Raw genomic sequence first — 21,134 nt, 5'->3', positions numbered from 1 at the left:
TTTTTTTTTTTTGAGACAGAGTCTTGCTCTGTCGCCCAGGCTGGAGTGCAGTGGTGGGATCTCAGCTCACTGCAGCCTCCACCTCTCAGGTTCAAGCGATTCTCCTGCCTCAGCCTCCTGAGTAGCTGGGATTACAGGTGCCCGCAACCACACCTGGCTAATTTTTGTATTTTAGTAGAGATGGGGTTTCACCATGTTGGCCAGGATGGTCTCAATCTCCTGACCTCGTGATCTGCCCGCCTCGGCCTCCCAAAGTGCTGGGATTACAGACGTGAGCCAAAGTGCCCTGTCAAATGGCATTCTTTAATCTACAATGAATCACCTAGTTACATGTGTAAGGGGAAGCGTCAGGGAGAACTGTCTGAATCTCTATTCATTTGCCTCAATTCTCTGCCATAATTTATTTATCATATTAACCTTAACCTTGTTAACCTTTCTCCTGTCTGCTAAAGTGAACCCCAATTTCACCTATTTGTAGCTTGTTTTGCTATATTGCTGTACACTGCTGATAAAAAAGAAAATAATTTTTTCTTTTAATTTTCCCCAAATTTTCTTGACAATTGGTGATGATACAAAGTATGTATCTAATACAATATTAACCCAGGAAAATATATTTTTAGAGACAAATCTTATTTTTTTCAATGAAAGTAAAAAGCAGTATGCTTTATTTACTAACTAGTAAGACCTTATTACTTTTCTCAAATACCACAAAACTTACTAAAGAAAAGCTTTCTGATTTGATCTTTGAATGATTGCAGAAAAGTAAACTGGCTTGGATCTGACATCACCTTGTCTTTCATTGCACTCTTTGCAGCCAAGTTACTGATATTCAACAGTACCAGTTTGCCCTCTTGTGGTGTATTGCAGTTACTGTTCTTTTCTACCACTAAGAAGTTTTGTATAGACCCGTTTAATTTTATGTAACTCATTGTACAAGACACCACTCTATCTTACATTTCATCTGTGATTAATTCATATAGAACAATAATCAATAATACATGCTGGAACTTTCAGAATGAACTTCTAAAATTACTCTAGACCATAATGAAATATGATTATCGCTGTTTGACACCCATCCTGAATTCCCAAGAACAGTAATAAATCTGCCATCCACCTTTGGTCCATAGGACTACTTTGTAGGACAAAAAGTCTAAAATTATCATATTCTTGCATATCAGATGTTATAAAGAACTTCTACCTATTCTGCTTTCCAACTCGGCGATGTGAATACATACATAAGTGTAAATATTTTTATCAAAGGACACGTGAACATTCTCCTAAGCAGGAGAATAAAAAGTTATTCTATTCAAAAGAATTGTTTCACTTTTGTAAAAGTAAAATCTACACCACAGTTTCTGGTTGCTTCCATTCAAGGAGAGCTTTGGAAACCCATTCTGACTCCTTGACTTTGTGAATTCACTGGTTTAGGGTAAAGTACAAGGCTCATGGATCCCATAGAGCAGTGGTCTCCAATCTTTTTGGCACCAGGGACCAGTTTCATGGAAGACAATTTTTCCATGGACTGGATGCGGGGATGGTTTCAAGATGATGCAAGCACATTACATTTATTGTGCACTTTATTTCTATTATGTTACATTGTAATATATAATGAAATAATTATACAACTCACCATCATGTAGAATCAGTGGGAGCCCTGAGCTTGTTTGCCTGCAACTAGACAGTCCCATCTGGGAGGTGATGGGAGACAGTGACAGATCATCAGGCATTAGATTCTCAAAAACAGCATGCAACCTAGATCCATTGCATGTGCAGTTCACAATAGGGTTTGCAATCTTATGAGAATCTAACGCTGCTGCTGATCTGACAGGAGGCAGAGCTCAGGTGGTAATGCTAACTCGCCCACCGCTCACCTCCTGCTGTGTGAATTGGCTCCTAATAGGCTACAGACAAGTACCAGTCCCTGGCCCAGTAGCTGGGGACACCTGCTGTAGCGTATATTTTGGCACTTGTGAGACCAATTACCTGTAATGTCTCCTCCACATACAGCAGGAATTAATTTCTCTTTTGTTACATATTTTCTCTTTTTTATATTTATACTTTTCCCTCTCTCCATGATACCCACTACGAGTTCAGATTCTGGAGTCCAGACAGCTTGGGCTTTTTTTTTTTTTTTTTTAATATATGCAAGTTCTACCACTTAATTTTTTTTTTTGAGATGGAGTCTCGCCCTGTTGCCTAGGCTGGAGTGCAGTAGTGCGATCTCAGCTCACTGCAAGCTCTGCCTCCCAGGTTCACGCCATTCTCCTGCCTCAGCCTCCTGAGTAGCTGGGACTACAGGCACCTGCCACCATGACCAGCTAATTTTTTTTTTTTTTTGTATTTTTAGTAGAGACAGGGTTTCGCTGTGTTAGCCAGGGTGGTCTTGATCTCCTGACCTCGTGATCCGCCTGCCTCGGCCTCCCAAAATGCTGGGATTACAGGCATGAGCCACCAAGCCCGGCCCACTTACTTTCTTACTGGGGATTTCTTGTGCAAATTGCCTTAATGGACTCACCCTTGATTCCTTGTCTCTGAGGGCGGAGGATTACCCAGGTGCCGAGGCAAGAGACTGAAGGCACAAACTGTTTCAGTATAATAAAGAAAATAGTTAGAATAAGAATAGTCATAATACAAATTAGATATAGAGATGATCATGAACAATTATCAATCATTATTATAAACATTATTAATCATTAGCTTTTAATATTACTCTTTGTTGCATTACTAATATAACCTAGGAATAACCAGTGGGTATAGGGTCAGGTGCTGAAGGGACATTGTGAGAAGTGACCTAGAAGGCAAGAGGTGAGCCTTCTGTCACGCCTGCATAAGGGCCGCTTGAGGGCTCCTTGGTCAAGCGGTAACGCCAGTGTCTGGGAAGGCACCGGTTACTTAGCAGACTGCGAGAGGGAGTCTCCTTTCCTTGGAGGAGTCAGGGAAAACTCTGCTCCAGCAGCTTCTGGTGGGAGGCTGGATATTATCCAGGCCTGCGCGCAGTCATCCGGAGGCCTAAACCCCTCCCTGTGGTGCTGTGCTTCAATGGTCACTCTCCTTGTCCACTTTCATGTTCCTCCCATACTCCTGGTTCCTCTTTGAAGTTCGTAGTAGATAGCGGTAGCAGAAATGGTGACAGTCTTAAAGTCTTTGATCTTTCTTATAAGTGCATAGAAGAAAACACTGACCTATGCTGCCTTCTCTCTGTGTGCTTTGGCTACCTAAGAAGGAAGGGCCACCTGTCCTGTGATCATGTGACTTGCTTCACCTTGTCAATCACTTAGAAGATTCACCCTCCTTACCCTGCCCCCTTGTCTTATATGCAATAAATATCAGTGTGTCCAGCCGTTCAGGGCCACTACCAGTCTATGCGTCTTAATGGTAGTGGTCCCCGGGTCCAGCTCTTTTCTCTTAATCGTTTTGTCTTGTGTCTTTATTTATTACAATCTCTCATCTCTGCACACCAGGAGAACACCCGCCAAGCTCCGTAGGGCTGGACCCTATATTTCTGTAATATGGAAATATTAATAGTGGCAAGCCCACATAGCTGCCACGAGGACTTCATACAATAATGAAGGTAAGGTGCTTAGCATGAGCCTGGGGATAAAGGAAGAGTTTAACAAATGTTACAATCAGTATTACTTTCTGATTTCTGAATATAACACTTTATTTTCGTCATATCTATCTCTCCTTTCCTTTTTTCACTGTCTACTTTTCTAGTGTACTTTTGGTCTGCTTTTATTAATTTTTTGTTTGTGTTCCCCTTTGCTCACTCCATGGCAATGAAAAAGTTAGATTTTAAAGTACGGGTTCTTAGTTCAGGACCCTGCATTCGAATGGATTTATTGCTATTTCTAACACAGAAAACTGCATTGTAGGACTGTTCCCAGATGTAACTGACTATCAGGCTGCTATTTCTCGTGGCCCAATAACGAGATGCAGATGAACTGGGGAGAAAGAGAGTTTTTATTTCTGCAGCCGTTTACAGGGAGAAGGCCTGGAAATTATCACCAGACCAACTCAAAATCACAAAGTTTTCCAGCGCTTATATACCTTGTAAGCTATATGTCTACATGTAAGTGTGCATTCATCTAAAGACACATGTGATTAACTTTTTTTCCTTTTTTTTTTTTTTTTTTTTTGAGGCAGAATCTCACTACTCTGTCACCCAGGCAGGAATGCAGTGGTGAAATCTTGGCTCACTGCAATCTCTGCCTCCCGGGTTCTAAGCGATTCTCCTGGCTCAGCCTCCTGAGTAGCTGGGATTACAGGCACCTGCCACCACACCCAGCTAATTTTTGTATTTTTAGTAGAGATGGGGTTTCACCACGTTGGCCAGGCTGTCTCGAACTCCTGACCTCAGGCAATCCACCTGCCTCAGCCTCCCAAAGTGCTGAGATTACAGGCTTGAGCCACCATGCCTGGCCATGATTAACTTCTTTTAATCTATAACTAAGGTCTGAGTCCTGAGACCTTCCCCTGGAACCTCAATAAATTTACTTGATCTAAATGGGTCCAGGTGCTGGGGTGATTACCCTTATCTTGTCTCCTGCTAAATCATGGAGGTTTGGGGAGTTCCTTCAGAACCCCAATAAGCTTCTTTGTGAAGCCTGGGGAGTTTCTTCAGACTCCCAATAAAACTTGTTTAATCCTAAATGGGTCCCGTTAAGGATTCCTTCGTTATTTTGTTATGCTTTAAGGCTCAGGAAAAGCCTAGGCAAAACTCTTGGTGGGCTTTTGTTACATTCCAGTCTTTGTATAAGGGCACTGGCTTTTAAAACTTAGCCAGTCAGTCAGTACCGAAGCAGGTGTTATGGAAGACTGCATTAGTGAGACCTGGCCTGCCACAGGACCAATACCTGGAAATAGTGGGGTATTTTTGTGCTCCTCAGGTATGCGTTTTTGGACATCCTTTTATTGGAGAGCTGAAAGAGAAGGCTACCATCTTTGGACGCCCTTTTACTGGAGAGCTGAAAGAGAAGGCTACTGAGAAGATATTTTTAAAGTATGTATATAAGTATACTTACATGATGTATGTATGAGGTTTAATGCAAAAGTTAATTGCGGTTTTGCCATTAAAGTGATGCAAAAACCTCAATTACTTTTGCACGAACCTAGTAAGTACTTACTCTGTTTTTCCAGTGGTCAGAAGAGTCTTTCATTTGGAAGTTTCTAATGCAAGCTAATTTTGTGAGAAAAAACTCTCACATCATGTATCTGCCCATTTTAGAGGAAGGATAAGCATATGGTACAACATCAGTGGATGGAACAGAAGCCGCAACTAGTTGAGGGTATTTCCTTGCCTACAGCTCCATCAAGCATTAAGAGAGACTTTCCAGGCCAGCTCCAGATGAAAAGTGCTTATTTCAGAATCTTTATTTTGGGGGTCTGTGCCATTATGTCAAGATTCTAAAACTCAAAATTGGAGCCTGAAAATTCTTCTTGGTTCTTCTTGTACAATTTATATTTTAGTTGTAACTCAGCCCAAAATCTGCTGGGGTTGTGGGGGAGATGTTTTTTCAAGCAAGTAACTCCAGATAATATTTAATAAATAGATTTTTGCCTATTCCTTCCCTGGTCGCCACGGTTGTTGTCTGTTACCTAGGAATTAAATGTTGAATGGCAAGGTAGGATCACTATAGTAACTCGAAGGGCATTGGAGCAATGAGAACGTGGGAAGATGTTAAATTTAGATCAGAGTGAGTATATGTCACATTATCAATCCTATTCCTGTAGGAGCTAATTTTCTTCAACAGATCTTCCTTATACAACACATAAAAGGCCCTTTTCTCTCCTTTGTGTCAACTGTCAAAACTGTTCAAATTAGCAAGCTTGATGTTTTTGCTGTTTTCAGAAATAATTGTTTTGTTTCTCTTTTTTCAAAATGTAACTTAGAATAACCATGTTCCTATGCTATTTAGCTCTTGCTGAATGATAAATAGTACAAATGTCTACTGTCTTTTGGAAACATACTTTCAAAGAATTCTTTTTGTATTTTTTAAATATCAGAAATACAGCATCTGACCTGCATTCTGACTTTGCTGTGAATCATTAAAGTTGGAATGTTTTTGAATTTTAGTACATTTTGTGGCATTAACTTTCCTACCCACAAACGAAGAGCCTTCAAACTACCTAGATGAGATCAAACGTCGATGACATTTATATTTTTCTAGGAGTCAGGAAGAAAAATATAATCCCACAACGTTAAATGCCTTTCAAGGAAAAAAAGTGAGCACGTGGCTGGATGTTTGACGTGAAAGACAGAAAAATCTTCTGTCTCTGTTTAGTGTTCCCAAACGTCAGGCATTCTTCTTTTTTTTTTTTTTTTTTTTTTTACTTTTTTCTCTTTCCCCTGGCTCTCTGAATTATAATTAGGGACCTGGTGAACAGATCTGACCCTCACTTGTGCTCATTTTTATTAATATATAAAGTCTAATGGAGGACTGTTCTGCTTCTTCACAAATGATTGATTCTAATTCTTTGGTGTTCCTGACACAAATCTGTGGGGTGTTGCCAATTGTCTTACAAACAGCAAACCCCCGAAGGCAAACTGCATTCCAAGTAGTGCAAACCACGCATTCCTAGTTACAAACTTGCTTCATCCATCGCCTATTGTTGTCTAAAAATAACCAAAGCTCATGACCCAGCTTTTTACTAAGACTTTCAAAGAAGTTGACCATCCTTGGATAGTGTCTCTAGGAAGAGACGGGTGAAGGGCAGAAAGACCATACTTTCTTTCCAACCAGATCCCATGATAAAGCAGGAGATTCACTAAGGAGTGGATGAGGGTAGTGTTTCCATGTTTCAATATGACAAGCAAGATACAGTTCATAACAATCTAAATATATTACTATGTCCCTCTGTTCTGTCCAAAAAGTTCAAGGAGATTTAGAGACAATTCATTGCCAAAAAAGAAACAACCATACTAGTAACTGATCCAAACACACAAAGAGAGTTCAGAGGAGTCTAGAGGCAAAGCATTGATTTTCCAACCCACTGCCTGACAGTCCTTACAGAGTCTGTCTTGGGTAGGCACTGGGGAGTCTCTTTCTTCTGCAGTCTCCCTTCTCTCCCTATCTCCTGAACGATGGAACAGAAGCTTCAACTACTTGAGGGTAATTCCTTGTCTACAGCTTCATCAGACATTAAGAGTGACTTTCTAAGCCAGCTCCAGCTGAAAAGTACCTATTTTAGAACCATCTCCTCTCCTTGGGCTCGGCTCCATCTTGCAGGTGGAGGGAGCAGTAAGATCCTTGAGGTCCTGAGGACTGTTTTTCCTAGACAGCTCAACCTTCATTGTGCTTGGATTTTCCCCCCTAAGAAGAAGCTTAGACATTTTAGAATCTTCTGATTAGAGCATTTAAGATAAACATGAATGCTTTTTCTTAAGACATTGACCACTGCTGATAGCATAACATATTTATTCATTTGTTTGTTTATTTTTGAGACAGAGTCTTGCTTGTCACCCAGACTGGAGTGCAGTGGTACAATCATGCCTTACTGCAGTCTCCAACTCCTGAGCTCAAGTGATCCTCCCACCTCAGCCTTCCAAGTAGCTGGGACTACAGGTGTGTGCCACCACACTCAGCTCATTTTTAAATTTTTTCATAGAGACAGGGTCTGCCCACGCTGGTCTCAAATTCCTAGGGCTCAAGTGATCCTTCCACCTTGGCCTCCCAAAGTGCTGGGATTACAGGCGTGAACCACCATGCCTGACCAACATATTTAACGTATTTAAAATTTCTTTCCCTTACATCTGTATTATAAAACTCCCTTCACAGAGGTATAGAAGAAAGAAAGAAATCAGAAAAAAAGATATCCACTCAAAAAATCCAAATATAAATTTATGCCTTTTTTGAACCACTAGAATTGTAGCAGATGCTGGGATACCAAAATGAATAATTCATAGCCATAATCTCAGTGTCTATGAATTCAGAATTTAACTGGAGATAGGGTTGAGGTGGCAAACAGGCACATAAAAAAATTAATGGTGTCACAGTCCTGTGAGAACTTTCATCTAGATATGAACACAGTGTTGTGTTAGCTCTGAGGAAGGCACCATGCCCTGGGAGAGCATGAGCAAGTGGGAGTCAGGCACAGGAACACAAAGGAGAGTACACATCTTGATTAATTTTCCCGGGACTTAGCCTCCCCAGAGCCAATTGCAGTGTGGACCTGTGCCATTTTACACAATGGGTTCTCATTCCACACCTGGCGCTTAACTACTGGGAAACCGACACAGTGACAGAATGTCAAAAGTGAAGAGGACTGGAAGAAAAGGTGGCATGGGTTTGAACAGAGCCATGGTGCTCAGGCCGCTGTGCAGTGCATTCATTTTCTAGGGATGCCATAGCAAAGTGTCACAGGGGGGTTTAAGTAACACAATTTTATTGCCTTATAGTTCTGGAGACTAGAAGTCTAAGATAAGCCTTCAGCATGATTGGTTCCTTTGGAGGCCCCTCTCTCCTTGGCTTGTAGATGGTTGTTGCAGGGGCAAAAAAGGTATAATACCTCTTCCTCACCCATCACAAGGGTCACAGCCAACACTCCTAAACAAAAGATAGGTTAGCAAGAGAAAAGTATAACACATGTATTTAATCAGTGTTTCATGTGACATGGAAGTTTTCAGAAATGAAGACCCAGGCTGGGTGTGGTGGCTCACGCCTGTAATCCCAGCACTTTGGGAGGCTGAGGTGGGCAGATCACTTGAGGTCAGGAGTTTGAGACCAGCCTGACCAACATGGTGAAGCCCCATCTCTACTAAAAATACGAAAATGACCCATGTGTGATGGCGGGCACCTGTAATCTCAGCTACTTGGGAGGCTGAGGCAAGAGAATTGCTTGAATCTGGGAGGCAGAGGTTGCAGTGAGCCAAGATCACGCTACTGCACTCCAGCCTAGGCAACAGAGAGAGACTCCATCTCAGAAAGAAAAAAGAAGAAAGAAAAAAAGAATGAAGGCCCAGAGAACTTCTGTATAACCCTATGTATTTTTATGCTTAGGTTCAATGAAGAATAGAAATGTGATTGGACAAATATGGTATGCTCTAATGGTAATTAACTGAGGAGGCAACTTAGCGAGGCCTGTTTGTTCAAATTCTTTTTGGCCTCTCTGTGTAGCATTCCTTTCTCCGGGTACAGGTCAGGACACCTGTCACATGAAAGCCTTCAAGGGAAAAGTGAGAGGGTCAGAGAGTGACATTTTTAGGTTTTGCAGCTGCCTTTGGGGAGAGGAGTTCTAGTTTCTGTGACCTGCCTTGGAGGGAAAAGGAGAGAGAGAGAAAGGAAGGTAAGAGGTCAGAGAGACCTTGCTTCTGAGCCCTCCCTATCTCTTTCAGTTCAAAGTACTCAACACGCCAAGGGGCCATACCTTGCAGTATTGTGTCCTGAGCCCCAACACTGTTGTCTTGTAATGTCTTCACATGGTATTTCCTTTGTGTATGTCTGTGTCCTAATCTGTTCTAATGAGGACCGCAGTCATATTGGATTAGGGTCCAACCCTATGACCTCATTTTACCTTAATCCTCTCTTTACAAGTCCTGTCACCAAAAACAGTCACATACTGAGGTACTAAGGGTTAAAATTTCAACATATAAATTGAGAGAAGGGGGACACAATTCAGCCCAAAACATAGGGTCTTAAAACATTGGGGAAAGTATGGTAAGGAAGTTCCAGCTATAAATTGCTCCTTTGGGAGACGGAGAGAGAGAGAGAGAGAGAGAAAATTCCTGGTTTTCCTGGAGTTTTGAAGAAGGACTAAGATTAGGTGGGGATGACCAACAGGTTTTAACTTAAGTGCTATCTGCCATAGATTGGTTGGAGCAGCCTGGAGCTCTGCATTAGGGAGTCAGGAGGAGAAAACAGAACAATTTGGTTGTCATCCTATAGGATGACACTTTCCTCCATGTCCATTGGGAAAAATAAACTTAGGAAATGAACAAAATCAACAAATGCTATGACATTCTGCCATACATATAGCGTGGCAATCAAAACTTCCACTATTTATTATTCTACCACCATTTTTGTAATCATTACCAGTTATTGATTGCCCACTAGTTCAGTCCAGCAGAGACGTTAAGGGCATGGGCCCTAGAGCTAGATAACCTTGCATTTGGGTTCCAGCTCTACTACTTTCAATGTGACCTTGAGCAACTCAACTTCTTTGATCCTCATTTTCTCATTGAAAAAAAGGAAATATTTTGGCTAGGCGTGGTGCCTTATGCATGTAATCCCAGCATTTTGAGAGGCCGAGGTGGGCAGATCACGAGGTCAGGAGTTCGAGACCAGCCTGGCCAACATAGTGAAACCCCGTCTCTACTAAAAGTACAAAAAATTAGCCAGGCGCGGTGTCAGGCTCCTGTAATCCCAGCTACTCGGGAGGCTGAGGTAGGAGAATCGCTTGAACATGGGAGGCGGAGGTTGCAGTGAGCTGAGATTGCACCATTGCAGCCTGGGAAACAGTGTGAGACTCCATCTCAAAAAAAAAAAAGTTGTTATTTTATTTAAAATTACTATTCTCAGAGGTATGACTGAGCAGTTGCTCAAGTGATGTTAATCTTCTGATAGAATTCTAGAATATGTCTCTTCCTTCCCCATGTCCAAACATGATTGAAAATAAATTTTTGTATCCAAAAATAGTTGGAAATAATGACTGTGCCTCCCTCAGATTGCTCTAGTGAGAATTATATGAGATAATAAATGTAAAAATTATTATCATTTCTATTAATATTTTCCAAGGACTATACATAGTGGGTGTTTTATGATTGTTATCTATTTAATTTTCTATAACAATCCTATGAAGGTTTTTGTTTTTGTAGACGGGGGTCTTGTTATGTTTGTTACCCAGGCTGGTCTCAAACTCCTGGCCTCAAGTAATCCTCCCGCCTTGGCCTCCCAAAGTGCTGGGATTATAGACATGAGCCACTGCACCCAGCTGAGGCATATATCATTAGCCCCAGCATCCTTCTATTCTACCTACCCTTGCTATCACTGAGGATGATTTCCACAAAGACATTCATTAAGAGCTTTACACTCTGAAACTGATAGAAAGGGCAGCTTCACAATAATGTCCATCCTCTCTTCTTTGGAGGGTGCATTTTACCCTGTGTATAGCTGCTCTCCAGCACAGTTTCTATGACAACCTCTCCCTGGGATATCTGACTGCTCTCCCCAGACATCCCTAGTACTCACGGTTTTTCTTGTTAATCGAAAAAAAAAATTACATGCAATTATAAGTAAAGGGCTACCTTTTGTTAATGGGGAATCTCTAAAAGAGCCATGATGCTACAACCATCAAGACAGTAAATTATTTCAAACTGTTTTATTAAAATGTTGCAAAGCCCCATATATGCTCATGCCCTCCAACACAATAATTGGTGGCTTGCGCAATTGAATCTCCGTTATTAGGCAGCTATAACTGATACAATGTAAAGCAGAGGTACAGTCATTTTGATGTTGGGGACTTCTTAAAATTTTCTTTTTGATGTTTCCTTTGATTTCATTGTGTGTTGTAATTCACTTTACAATACTACGGTATGTAAACACTGGGAACTCTGTGTGCAGCAATTAACTCTAATTTGTACCCTAGGGATCGATTAGCACATGAAGTAACCTAATAGAATTAACACCCTAAGAATTGGCCAAGTGGGGCCGGGCGCGTGGCCTGTAATCCCAGCACTTTGGGAGGTTGAGGTGGGCAGATTACCTGAGGTCAGGAGTTTGAGAGCAGCCTGGGAAACATGGTGAAACCCCATCTCTACTAAAAATACAAAAAGTAGCCGGGCGTGGTGGCAGGTGCCTGTAATCTCAGCTACTCGGGAGGCTGAGGCTCACTTGAACCCAAGAGGCGAAGGTTGCAGTGAGCCGAGATCGGGTCACTGCGCTCCAGCCTGGATGACAAGAGCAAAACTCCATCACAAAAAAAAAAAAAAAAAAAAGAATTGGCCAGGTGGCATTAAAAAGTATTTGTATGAAGTCAACATACAGAAGGTTTATTATTTAGCATGTTAGAATTTTTCATTGGTGAAATTAGTGGGGTTTAAGTTGTGTGTGATTGTTGGAAGTTAGACATCTCCATATTTGCAGGAGTTACATATAAATAAATACCTGTCTGGGCCAGTTGTTCATACCAAAGGGCAGCTTCTAGATTGAAGGCCCCAGTGGCCGTGTGCTCCTTCTCTTAGCAGACAATCCTGTCATCAGATCTCACCAAAAGGGCTGCCCTTTCATCGATCAGAACCTATCTGCCTCCATCATGCAGAAATCCTTTCATGAAGGTGATGTTCAAGGGTTGAAAGTGAAAATATTCCAAGTCACCACAGGCTGTAAAATTGTGTTGTGCCTGCTTACAAGCAAATATTTGTTTGCTTAGAACAATATGGTCTGAAATGGCATTTGGTATATTAACATTAACATACCCCCAGCTGACAGATGAGATGAACTCTCTGTGGCTGAGACCCTCAAGAGAAAATTAAGCGGCCATAACAGAGAAAAGGGTTTGGTCATGTACCTGTACATTGTTAACTACCGATAGATCCAGGAGACAGATAAGGGAATTTGCCCAGGATCTTGCCTGGGCATGCCTGCAATGGACTGGGTGGACTGGGGGCTCACGTGAGCACTGGGGGAATGGGGTGGAGCCACCAGGAATTCTGCCTAATCAGGGGAAAGAGTCTGGCTTCTTCAGCTCGTGTGTGGTGGCCTGGTATTCAGTCTGTGAGGTGGGAGCCTATTGGCAGGACCCCCTCTTTTTGCTGAGAGCTTTCTTTTAATAAATTCCGCTCTCCTCACCTTTCAATGTGTCCGTGGACCTGATTTTTCCTGGTTGTGAGACAAGAACTCGGATTTTAGCCGAGAAAAGGAGCAAAAAATCCTGCATTACTACTAAAAGGCTTGTTAACTGCTATAAAGTTTTCTTTCTGCAGTTAGACTGAAACCTGTTCTAGGAAAACATTGCCAGACTCATTTGGGTGGACCCCCACCTTAGGGATCCTGCCAGCAGCACCCATTTTACAAGAGACCTGCCTTACAAACATTGTTTCCTGATAAGCAGCTACAGACCCTAATCCGGTCCCAGCCAGCTTTCAGAGACTGTGCACAAATGTCTTTGTGCCCTATAATTCACTTTTTGAGGTAAAAAGTCAAATTCCACCTCACTTTAATGATAAAACCCCACCCCAAAGTGAACATGGAATGTATGTTACATACATGTTAACTCACTGGACATGAGCTTGACTTTTCCCATAAATATTAATAGCTATTTCCCAAGCCTGATGAATAAGCATGTAAGACAGACCCTGGAAGACCTGAATTCCACTGTTTCCTTCCCTTCTGCATGCTTTTGGTTTCCTTGAAAGCACATTTCCCTAATCTGCTAATTGTTACTCAGAAAATAAAGTTGTTTCCTTTTTCCTTCTTCCGTAGATCTCATGGTCATATGTTAATAGCTACAACTGCCCGGTGGTAAGCTAGTGCATAGGAAATTCACCCCCTCTAACTAGTAGAGAGTTCCAATGAAGCCCAAAGTCATTTGACATTCATAGAACTCTTGGTTCAAATTCTCATACCCTCTTCTTCAACACAGACCTCATAATGATCCGTTATATCTCAGTTTCCTTCTGCCACACTAGCATTTGTTTTTCTGATCATGTTCATTGATCTTTACACAAGTGCAGTCTACTGGTCAGAATATCAGCTGCAGGTGACTTAGAAGTGAAGTTTCCATAACCACTATTCTGACACTGAGTCACAAATTCTCATGTCACTTTGAGACTCATATTTTTTCCTTTTAAATAGCCTTTTTTTTTTTTTTTTTTGAGATGGAGTTTCGCTCTATTGCCCAGACTGGAGTGCAGTCGTGTGACCTTCGCTCAGTGCAACCTCCACCTCCTGGGTTCAAGTGATTCCCCTGCATCAGCCTCCCGAGTAGCTGGGATTACAGGTGCACACCACCATGCCCGGCTAATTTTTTGTATTTTTAGTAGAGACGAGGTTTCACCGTGTTAGCCAGGATGGTCTCGATCTCCTGACCTCGTGATCCACCCGCCTCAGCCTCCCAAAGTGCTGGGATTACAGGCGTGAGCCACTGCAGCTGGCCTAGACTTTTATTTTCAGAGCACTTTAAGTTTCACAGAAAAACTGGGCGTAATGTCCAAAGAGGTCCCATAACTGCCACATGCACCTCCCCCACCTGCCAACACACACACACCCACACACACACAAGCCTTCCCCGCAATCAACATCCTGCCCCACAGTGGTACATTTGTTAAAACTGATGAACTACATTAACAAATCACCATCACTGTCAAAAGATCAAATTACCCCAAATCTAGTTTAAAAATTTAACTGGCTTCTATTTGAGATTCTAGAATCAGGCAATACCACATTCTATAAAACAGAATGAGTGTTCTGATAAGCTGAGCAGAGGAGATTGGCTTTATAGACAGGAAAATGTTGAAGAAATCAGAAACAGAGAACAAAAAGTGTATTGGTGGTTTCAAAGTTACTTTCTTTGTAAGGTTGAAACAGAGGGCACTCCCTTATTCATTGACTCAGATTGCCTGGAATCTCCTGGGCTGTTTTTATTTTTTTAAACTGGCCCGTTTTAAGGTTCCGTTTGATAATGTGGAACATAAGTGACTCCATCCTAGTTTGGTCTGGTCTGCTGGAGCCTCATGTGGAACGCTAGCTCAAAACAATGGCCTCCCATAAATTGTGTTTATCACTCAAAGTCTATAGTTTACATTAGGATTCACTCTGGGTGTTATATATTGTATGGGTTTTGACAAGTATATGATGACATGTATCCACCATGATAATATCATACAGAATAGTTTCACTGCCCTAAAAATCCTATGTGCTCTGCCTATTCATCCCTTCCTTTCCTCCAGCTCCAGCAAGCTCCAATCTTTTTACCATACCCATACTTTTGGCTTGGAATTGTACAGTGTGTGCCTTTTCAGATTAGCTTATTTCACTATTTCACTTAGTAGTTTTCATTTCAGTTTCCTCCATGTCTTTTCATAGCTCTGCAGCCTCCACCTCCCAGGGTCAAGGAATCCTCCCACCTTAGCCTTTGAAGTAGCTGGGACCACAGGTGCACACCACCATGCCTGGTTAATTTTTGCATTTTTTGTAGAGACAGGGTTTCACCACGTTGCCTAGACTGGTCTCAACATTAAGTGATCCTCTTCCTTAAGCTCCCAAAGTGCTAGGATTACAGGTATGAGCCACTGTGCCCAGCCAGCTCATTTCTTTTTGATGTTGAATAGTATTCCATTGTCTGGATGTGCCACAGTTTGTTTATCCATTCACCCAGCCGAAAGACATTTTGGTTGCTTCCAAGTCTTGGCAATTATGAATAAAGCTGCTAAAAACATCTGTGCAGGTTTTTGTGTGGACAGCAGTTTTCAACTCATTTGGGTAAACATCAAGGAATATGATTGTTGGATCATACGGTAAGAGTATATATAGCCTTGTGAGAAACTGCCAACCTGCCTTCCAAAGTTACTGTGCCATTCTGCGTTCCCACCAGCAATGAATGAGAGTTCTTGTTGCTCCTCATTTCCACAAGCATTTGGTGCTGTCACTGTTCTGGATTTTGGTCATTCTAGCAGGCATCTAGTGATTAGGCATCTAGAGGACAGGCATCACTGTTACTTTGATTTCAGTTCCCTAATGACATATGAACTAGAGCATCTCTTCATATGCTTATTTGCCATCTGTGTAACTTCTTTGGTGAGGTCTCTGTTCAAGTCTTTTGCCTCCTTTTTAATTGGGATGCTTTTTAATTATTGAGTGTTAAAAGGTTTTCGTATATTTTGCATAGCAGACCTTTGTCAGATCTGTCTTTTGCCAAGATTTTTTTCTTAATCCGTGATTTGTCTTCTCATTCTTTTGACTAGTCTTTTAATGTAATAAAAACATGCCTAGTTGTTTGTGCATTTGACTTACTCATGTATTTGCTCTTTCATTCATTCAATATATATTTATTGAGCACCTGCTAACTGCCAGGCCTTGTGCCAGGCAGAAAATAGAGATATAACCAAAATAGGCATGGGGCTTGCATTTGCCTCTAAATCACACCACTCATATTTTAAATCCTCAAAGTTATATTGACATCAATTGTGATTTATCCTCTGAAATATTCTGGAGTCTATCCTCTCCTCTTTTTTTCCTAGACTACCCTGGCTACTCTCCTCACCATCATAGATGATTGCAACAAGCTCATCCGGTTCTCCCCTTTCCAATTCCTTCTCTATGCAGGTGGCAGAGTTATCCTTCCAAAATTTAGATAAAATCAGGTCATAATTCTGGTTAAAACATGTGTATGACTAGCAGGTATCAGTTTTACCCTATAACACTAGAGTGCAAGGAAGTTCTCTTCCCTTAAATTCTCTGCAGTTGTTAAATTATATTCAACCCTCTTCCACTCAGCCAGTGAGAAATTCAATTTCAGTCTTTTTATTGTGCTCCTTCCTTTTCTATCAAAGATCTTTTGAAATTACAGGGCTCTCATCCAGAATATTCACAAATAGGCCCTCTGGTCTTTGCCTACAATGCTGTCTACCGTTCTTCACCTCTACCATATCTACAAGGTGCTATGAAGATAGGTAATGCCAGCCTTATTTCTTTAAAATATTTGGTTTCTGCCCAGCAGCACAAAAGACCCTGAGACAAGAAAAACAGAAGTTAGGTAACTTCTTTGGTGAGGGAAAGTAAAAATATATAAAACAAGAAAAATAAAAGCACTAATTAGTATTTCAAATTATCCTGCCTTGTGGAATGAGTCCAACCTCCTTAGCATGGCAACAAGACATATCTACACTTCCCAATTTCACCTTCATCCCATGGTGTTGTGGAGCCAGTTTTTATCAGCTCATGAGAGTGGAGTGTTAAATTTTCAGAAATTTTGCAGCCAATTGTTAAACGTGGCTATTATCAACAATTAAATTATATAGCCCTCTCTTCCTCCCTCCCTTTCATCTCCCTAGAGAGGTCTCCCATTACTGTCTGAGATTCCAAAGGGCTATGCACTTCCTTGCATTACAACAAATCTGACATTGTTTCTAATTATTGCTTTTACTAAAATATCCTGTAGACTATGAGCTTGTGGATTACACTTGTCATTCATATTTGTTTCCCTTGCTAGCAGAGGGCCTGGCGCGTGGTAGGAATTCAATAACTGTTCTGTGAATGAGTGAATGACTCTTGCAGGTTAAAACCTTGTTCCTTCCTGATATCTTTTTTTTTTTTTTTTTTTTTTGAGACGGAGTCTCGCTCTGTCGCCCAGGCTGGAGTGCAGTGGCGCGATCTCCGCTCACTGCAAGCTCCGCCTCCCGGGTTCACGCCATTCTCCTGCCTCAGCCTCCTGAGCAGCTGGGACTACAGGCGCCCACCACCACGCCCGGCTAATTTTTTGTATTTTTAGTAGAAACGGGGTTTCACCGTGTTAGCCAGGATGGCCTCGGTCTCCTGACCTCGTGATCCGCCCGCCTCGGCCTCCCAAAGTGCTGGGATTACAGGCGTGAGCCACCGCGCCCGGCCCTTTCCTGATATCTTGAGATCATCTCTCTACCCAGCAGGACTCAGTTTCCCAAGCCTTATATTCCTAAAAGCCTGCATTCTTCCATTCTTTAATCAATTACCACATAGGAAAAGCTTTGTGTGCCTCCCAAAGAGACACAACTTTCATTCTCCAAGGCCCTTCTTCCAGGGGGGGAGCTTAAAATGAAGTCAAATACAAGAAGTTAAGAAACAAAGACTCTTTACAAATTCCCTCAGGTACAGAAATCTAATTTAAAGTCTCAGCATCTATGTATAATATCCTGTGGTACTTGAGCCTGAAATGGAATGTTCATGTGGGCTTGTTGGTAAACCAGTGCAAGATGCTCTTCAGCCCAGCTGACATTCTAGAAGCAGAGGATGGATGTGAGAATGGTTGATGTGTATCATTGTTAGTGGGCTGACAGATAGACAAAGTGGCCAGCAGAGTTGCTCATTGCATAGATACACCTTCTATGTTTATTATTTATTTATTATTTTTGAGAGACAGTTTTGCTCTTGTTGCCCAGGCTGGACTGCAATGGTGTGATCTTGGCTCACTGCAACCTCCACTTCCCAGGTTCAAGCGATTCTCCTGCCTTAGTCTCCCAAGTAGGTGGGATTAAAGCCATGCACCACCATGCCTGGCTAACTTTTTGGATTTTAGTAGAGACAGGCTTTCACCATGTTGGTCAGGCTGTTCTCAAACTCCTGACCTCAGGTGATCCACCTGCCTCGGCCTCCCAAAGTGCTGGGATTACAGGTATGAGTCACCATGCCTGGCCAATATACCTTTTAGAAACAACCTTTATTTGTTTATTTATTTATTTATTTGAGGTGAAGTCTCACTCTGTCGCCAGGCTGGAGTGCAGTGGTGCGATCGTGACTCACTGCAACCTCCGCCTCCTGGGTTCAAGCAATTCTCCTGCCTCAGCCTCCTAAGTAGCTAGGATTACAGGTGCCCGCCACCACGCCTGGTTAATTTTTTTATTTTTAGTAGAGACGGGGTTTCACCATGTTAGCCAGGATGGTCTCGATCTCTTGACCTGATGATCTGCCCGCCTCGGCCTTCCAAAGTGCTGGGATTAGAGGCGTGAGCCACCACGCCACACCATAAACATCCTTTTCTATCTTCCCAAGCATACTGGAAGGTTTATGACAGAAATGTCCCAAAGACTGGAGAAAAACAAAGATTAAAAACCATTGCTTTTGATTTTAGACAATGCAACCCCAAGTACAGAACTGCTTGACCTAATTTCTAATCCCTCAGGCAGTTTTGGTGAAATAGTCATTGCTTTGCCCTAGTCTTCCCAGAACAAGAACCAAACGTCCCTGAGGACACCAAATGACACCACCACCCCACCGCCAAGCTGGCACCAGCAAAGACGTAGGCTATTTGCAGAGAGCATGCCGCCTCTGCTGTGAGTGGGCTGTAAACTACCAGGGAGATGCGTGCTGCCTGCCTGGAGACAGGGTTGCTAGGTGCCTCTGAAGTAGTGAGACCGAGAGGTGTACATTTTTCCCCCACACTTCTTATTTTACACAGTGACAGTTGTAGCCTGGAAACAGAACTGAAGAATAGTGCCTGTAGTGTAGGGTATGATGGCCAGCCAAGTGCCCTATGGGGCAGAAGGAGTGGGGTTGAAGCTTTTATCAGGAACAGGAGAAAAAAGTAATGTGATTTGGTTTCACCATAATTACTTAAGCAGGCTGCGTGAGAACTAATTATGAGTTAATCTGGCTCCAGAGAAACCCCACCTCTTCCCTTTTCTAGAATGGTACTAAAATATCAACATTGCATCACCAGAAATCATTCCCATTGGTGGCCTTTCTTAAGAAAAGCAGCATGCTCTTTCCCTCGGAAAGCCACTGGAATCTGTACACACCCAGGAATTTACATCTTCCCAAGACAAATAAAATACCTCTGACACTCAACTCAGAGTGCTTGCCCATGATTATATCATGGAGAGAGTGTCGTTTTTAAATCTGGGGAGTAAGGAATGCAGAGAAGGAAATGAAGAATAAGTTAAGAGCTTTCTGCCATTGTTAGACTCAGGAGGGGTTCTGAATTTCAGAACCAGGCTGCTCATTGATGATATCTTGACTCTCCCAGGTTCTCACCAGGATCCAATGGCCCTAAGGAGACAAGTACATTTGCTTGGAAAACTGGTCACCTAATTCCCAAAAGGACAGAGCTAACATTATATGTCTCAGCATCCAGTCCATCCTAGATGGATTTCGATTCTATCTAGGTTAGTAGTCCACATTACAGCTCTAGATGAAAATTCAATAATGCTGCTAGAATATGCTTGTAGAATAAGCTTATCTGTAATATGCAGACCTTATGTGAGTTCTGAGAATGAAAGGAGTTGGTATACTACAAGTGTAGAAAGAGCATGGATTCAAATGCTGGGTTCAACCTGGCTTCAAATCCTGACTGATGCTTTCTAGCTGTATGGAATTTACTGGCCTTCTCTGAGTCTTAGATTCAACTGGGAAAGGCAGTAAAAATGTCATTCCCCTTGAAGGATCTATGTAAGAATGAGAAATAATACATGAAGTGCTTTCACAGCACTTGAGACAGAGGATGTACACTATAAATGGTAACACATGCGATAGTCATGTCTCTCGCTATGAGAGTGTTGGGGCTCAGAAAGCGATACCCCAAAGACTGGTGCTTTGAAATGTTGAGAGGACTTAGAAGCTGCCTCAGAATCAAGGTCCTTCTAACCTTGACTTGTTCCTCCACCTCAAGCACAGGGAGTGATTCTTTCTGGAATGTCCTTATCTGACCAAGAAAATTTCTTTCCAAAAGAATTGTAATTGTCTTAAACCCCTTTTCTAGGGAATCTCATCAAACAACCAGGGAGGATCAACCACCAGAGAAAAGAAGAGACTGGGAGTCATCACCATGTCCCCAACAGAATTTTCATCTATCCTTCTGAGGACAGCTCCAAGTGATTACCTAGAGGACTTTGCTTCATAATAAGTCAACCTTCATTCCTGTGCAGCCCCACCTCTCACCTTCCCAAAATGTCTGCCTCCCATCTTCTGGGTCCATTCATTCTCTCAAATGATTTGCTGCCCCTCAAAAGAATTTTCCACGTTCCTCATCTCTCCCCTCCCCTGGGAAAAAGCATATATAAGCTTCTATACCACCCTGGGTTATTGGGTAATCATTCTCCAGCAATTCTCCCATCCTGTGCACATCAAATAAATTCTGTATGCGTTTTCTTTTATTAATGTGCTTTTTGTCTGTTGATTTTCAGTGAGTCTTTAGAGGGCAAAGGGGAAATTTTCTCCCTGCAAGAGTCTTATTATCCGAGTGTCTCTGCAAGCAGCACGTGGGGGTTACAAAGACAGACAATGCCTGACTTTTGTCTTCTGAACCACCACGGTTTAGTTAGATGGAGGCGGGAAGGAAGGAGGTAGGGAGAGTGGGACTACCTGAAGCAAGTAGCAACAAAACGACACTATATAATTAGATAGAAAATTGTGTGTTACAAATTCTGGGTGGGGTAGGAATTCAGGGAAAAGAAAGAACAATGAGGGTGCAGCAATAGCTTCAACCACTGAACAGAAAAACAAACATAAGCGTGA

At 42.1% G+C, this 21,134-nt stretch overlaps 1 long non-coding RNA gene across 1 annotated transcript, besides 1 other annotated feature; it reads left to right on the top strand.

Annotated features, from left to right (window-relative positions):
* Positions 1-5,629: 5,629 nt before the first annotated feature.
* LOC124904999 (uncharacterized) lies at positions 5,630-20,773 on the top strand. Its single transcript, XR_007067821.1, has 2 exons — positions 5,630-5,693; positions 20,380-20,773. It is a non-coding gene; the product is annotated as an uncharacterized LOC124904999 (long non-coding RNA).
* Positions 12,210-13,409: an enhancer, noted in NCBI's record as "MED14-independent group 3 enhancer chr21:19038958-19040157 (GRCh37/hg19 assembly coordinates)". NCBI's record gives its function as "activates an origin of replication core promoter dependent on BRD2, BRD4, P300/CBP and CDK7 cofactors, and independent of MED14, by STARR-seq in HCT116 cells {active_cell/tissue: HCT116}" and the evidence as "EXISTENCE:reporter gene assay evidence [ECO:0000049][PMID:35650434]".
* Positions 20,774-21,134: the final 361 nt, after the last annotated feature.

Source organism: Homo sapiens, chromosome 21 (genome assembly GCF_000001405.40).
Source record: "Homo sapiens chromosome 21, GRCh38.p14 Primary Assembly".
NCBI lineage: Eukaryota > Metazoa > Chordata > Mammalia > Primates > Hominidae > Homo > Homo sapiens.
This window is presented reverse-complemented; position numbering and strand designations above follow the sequence as displayed.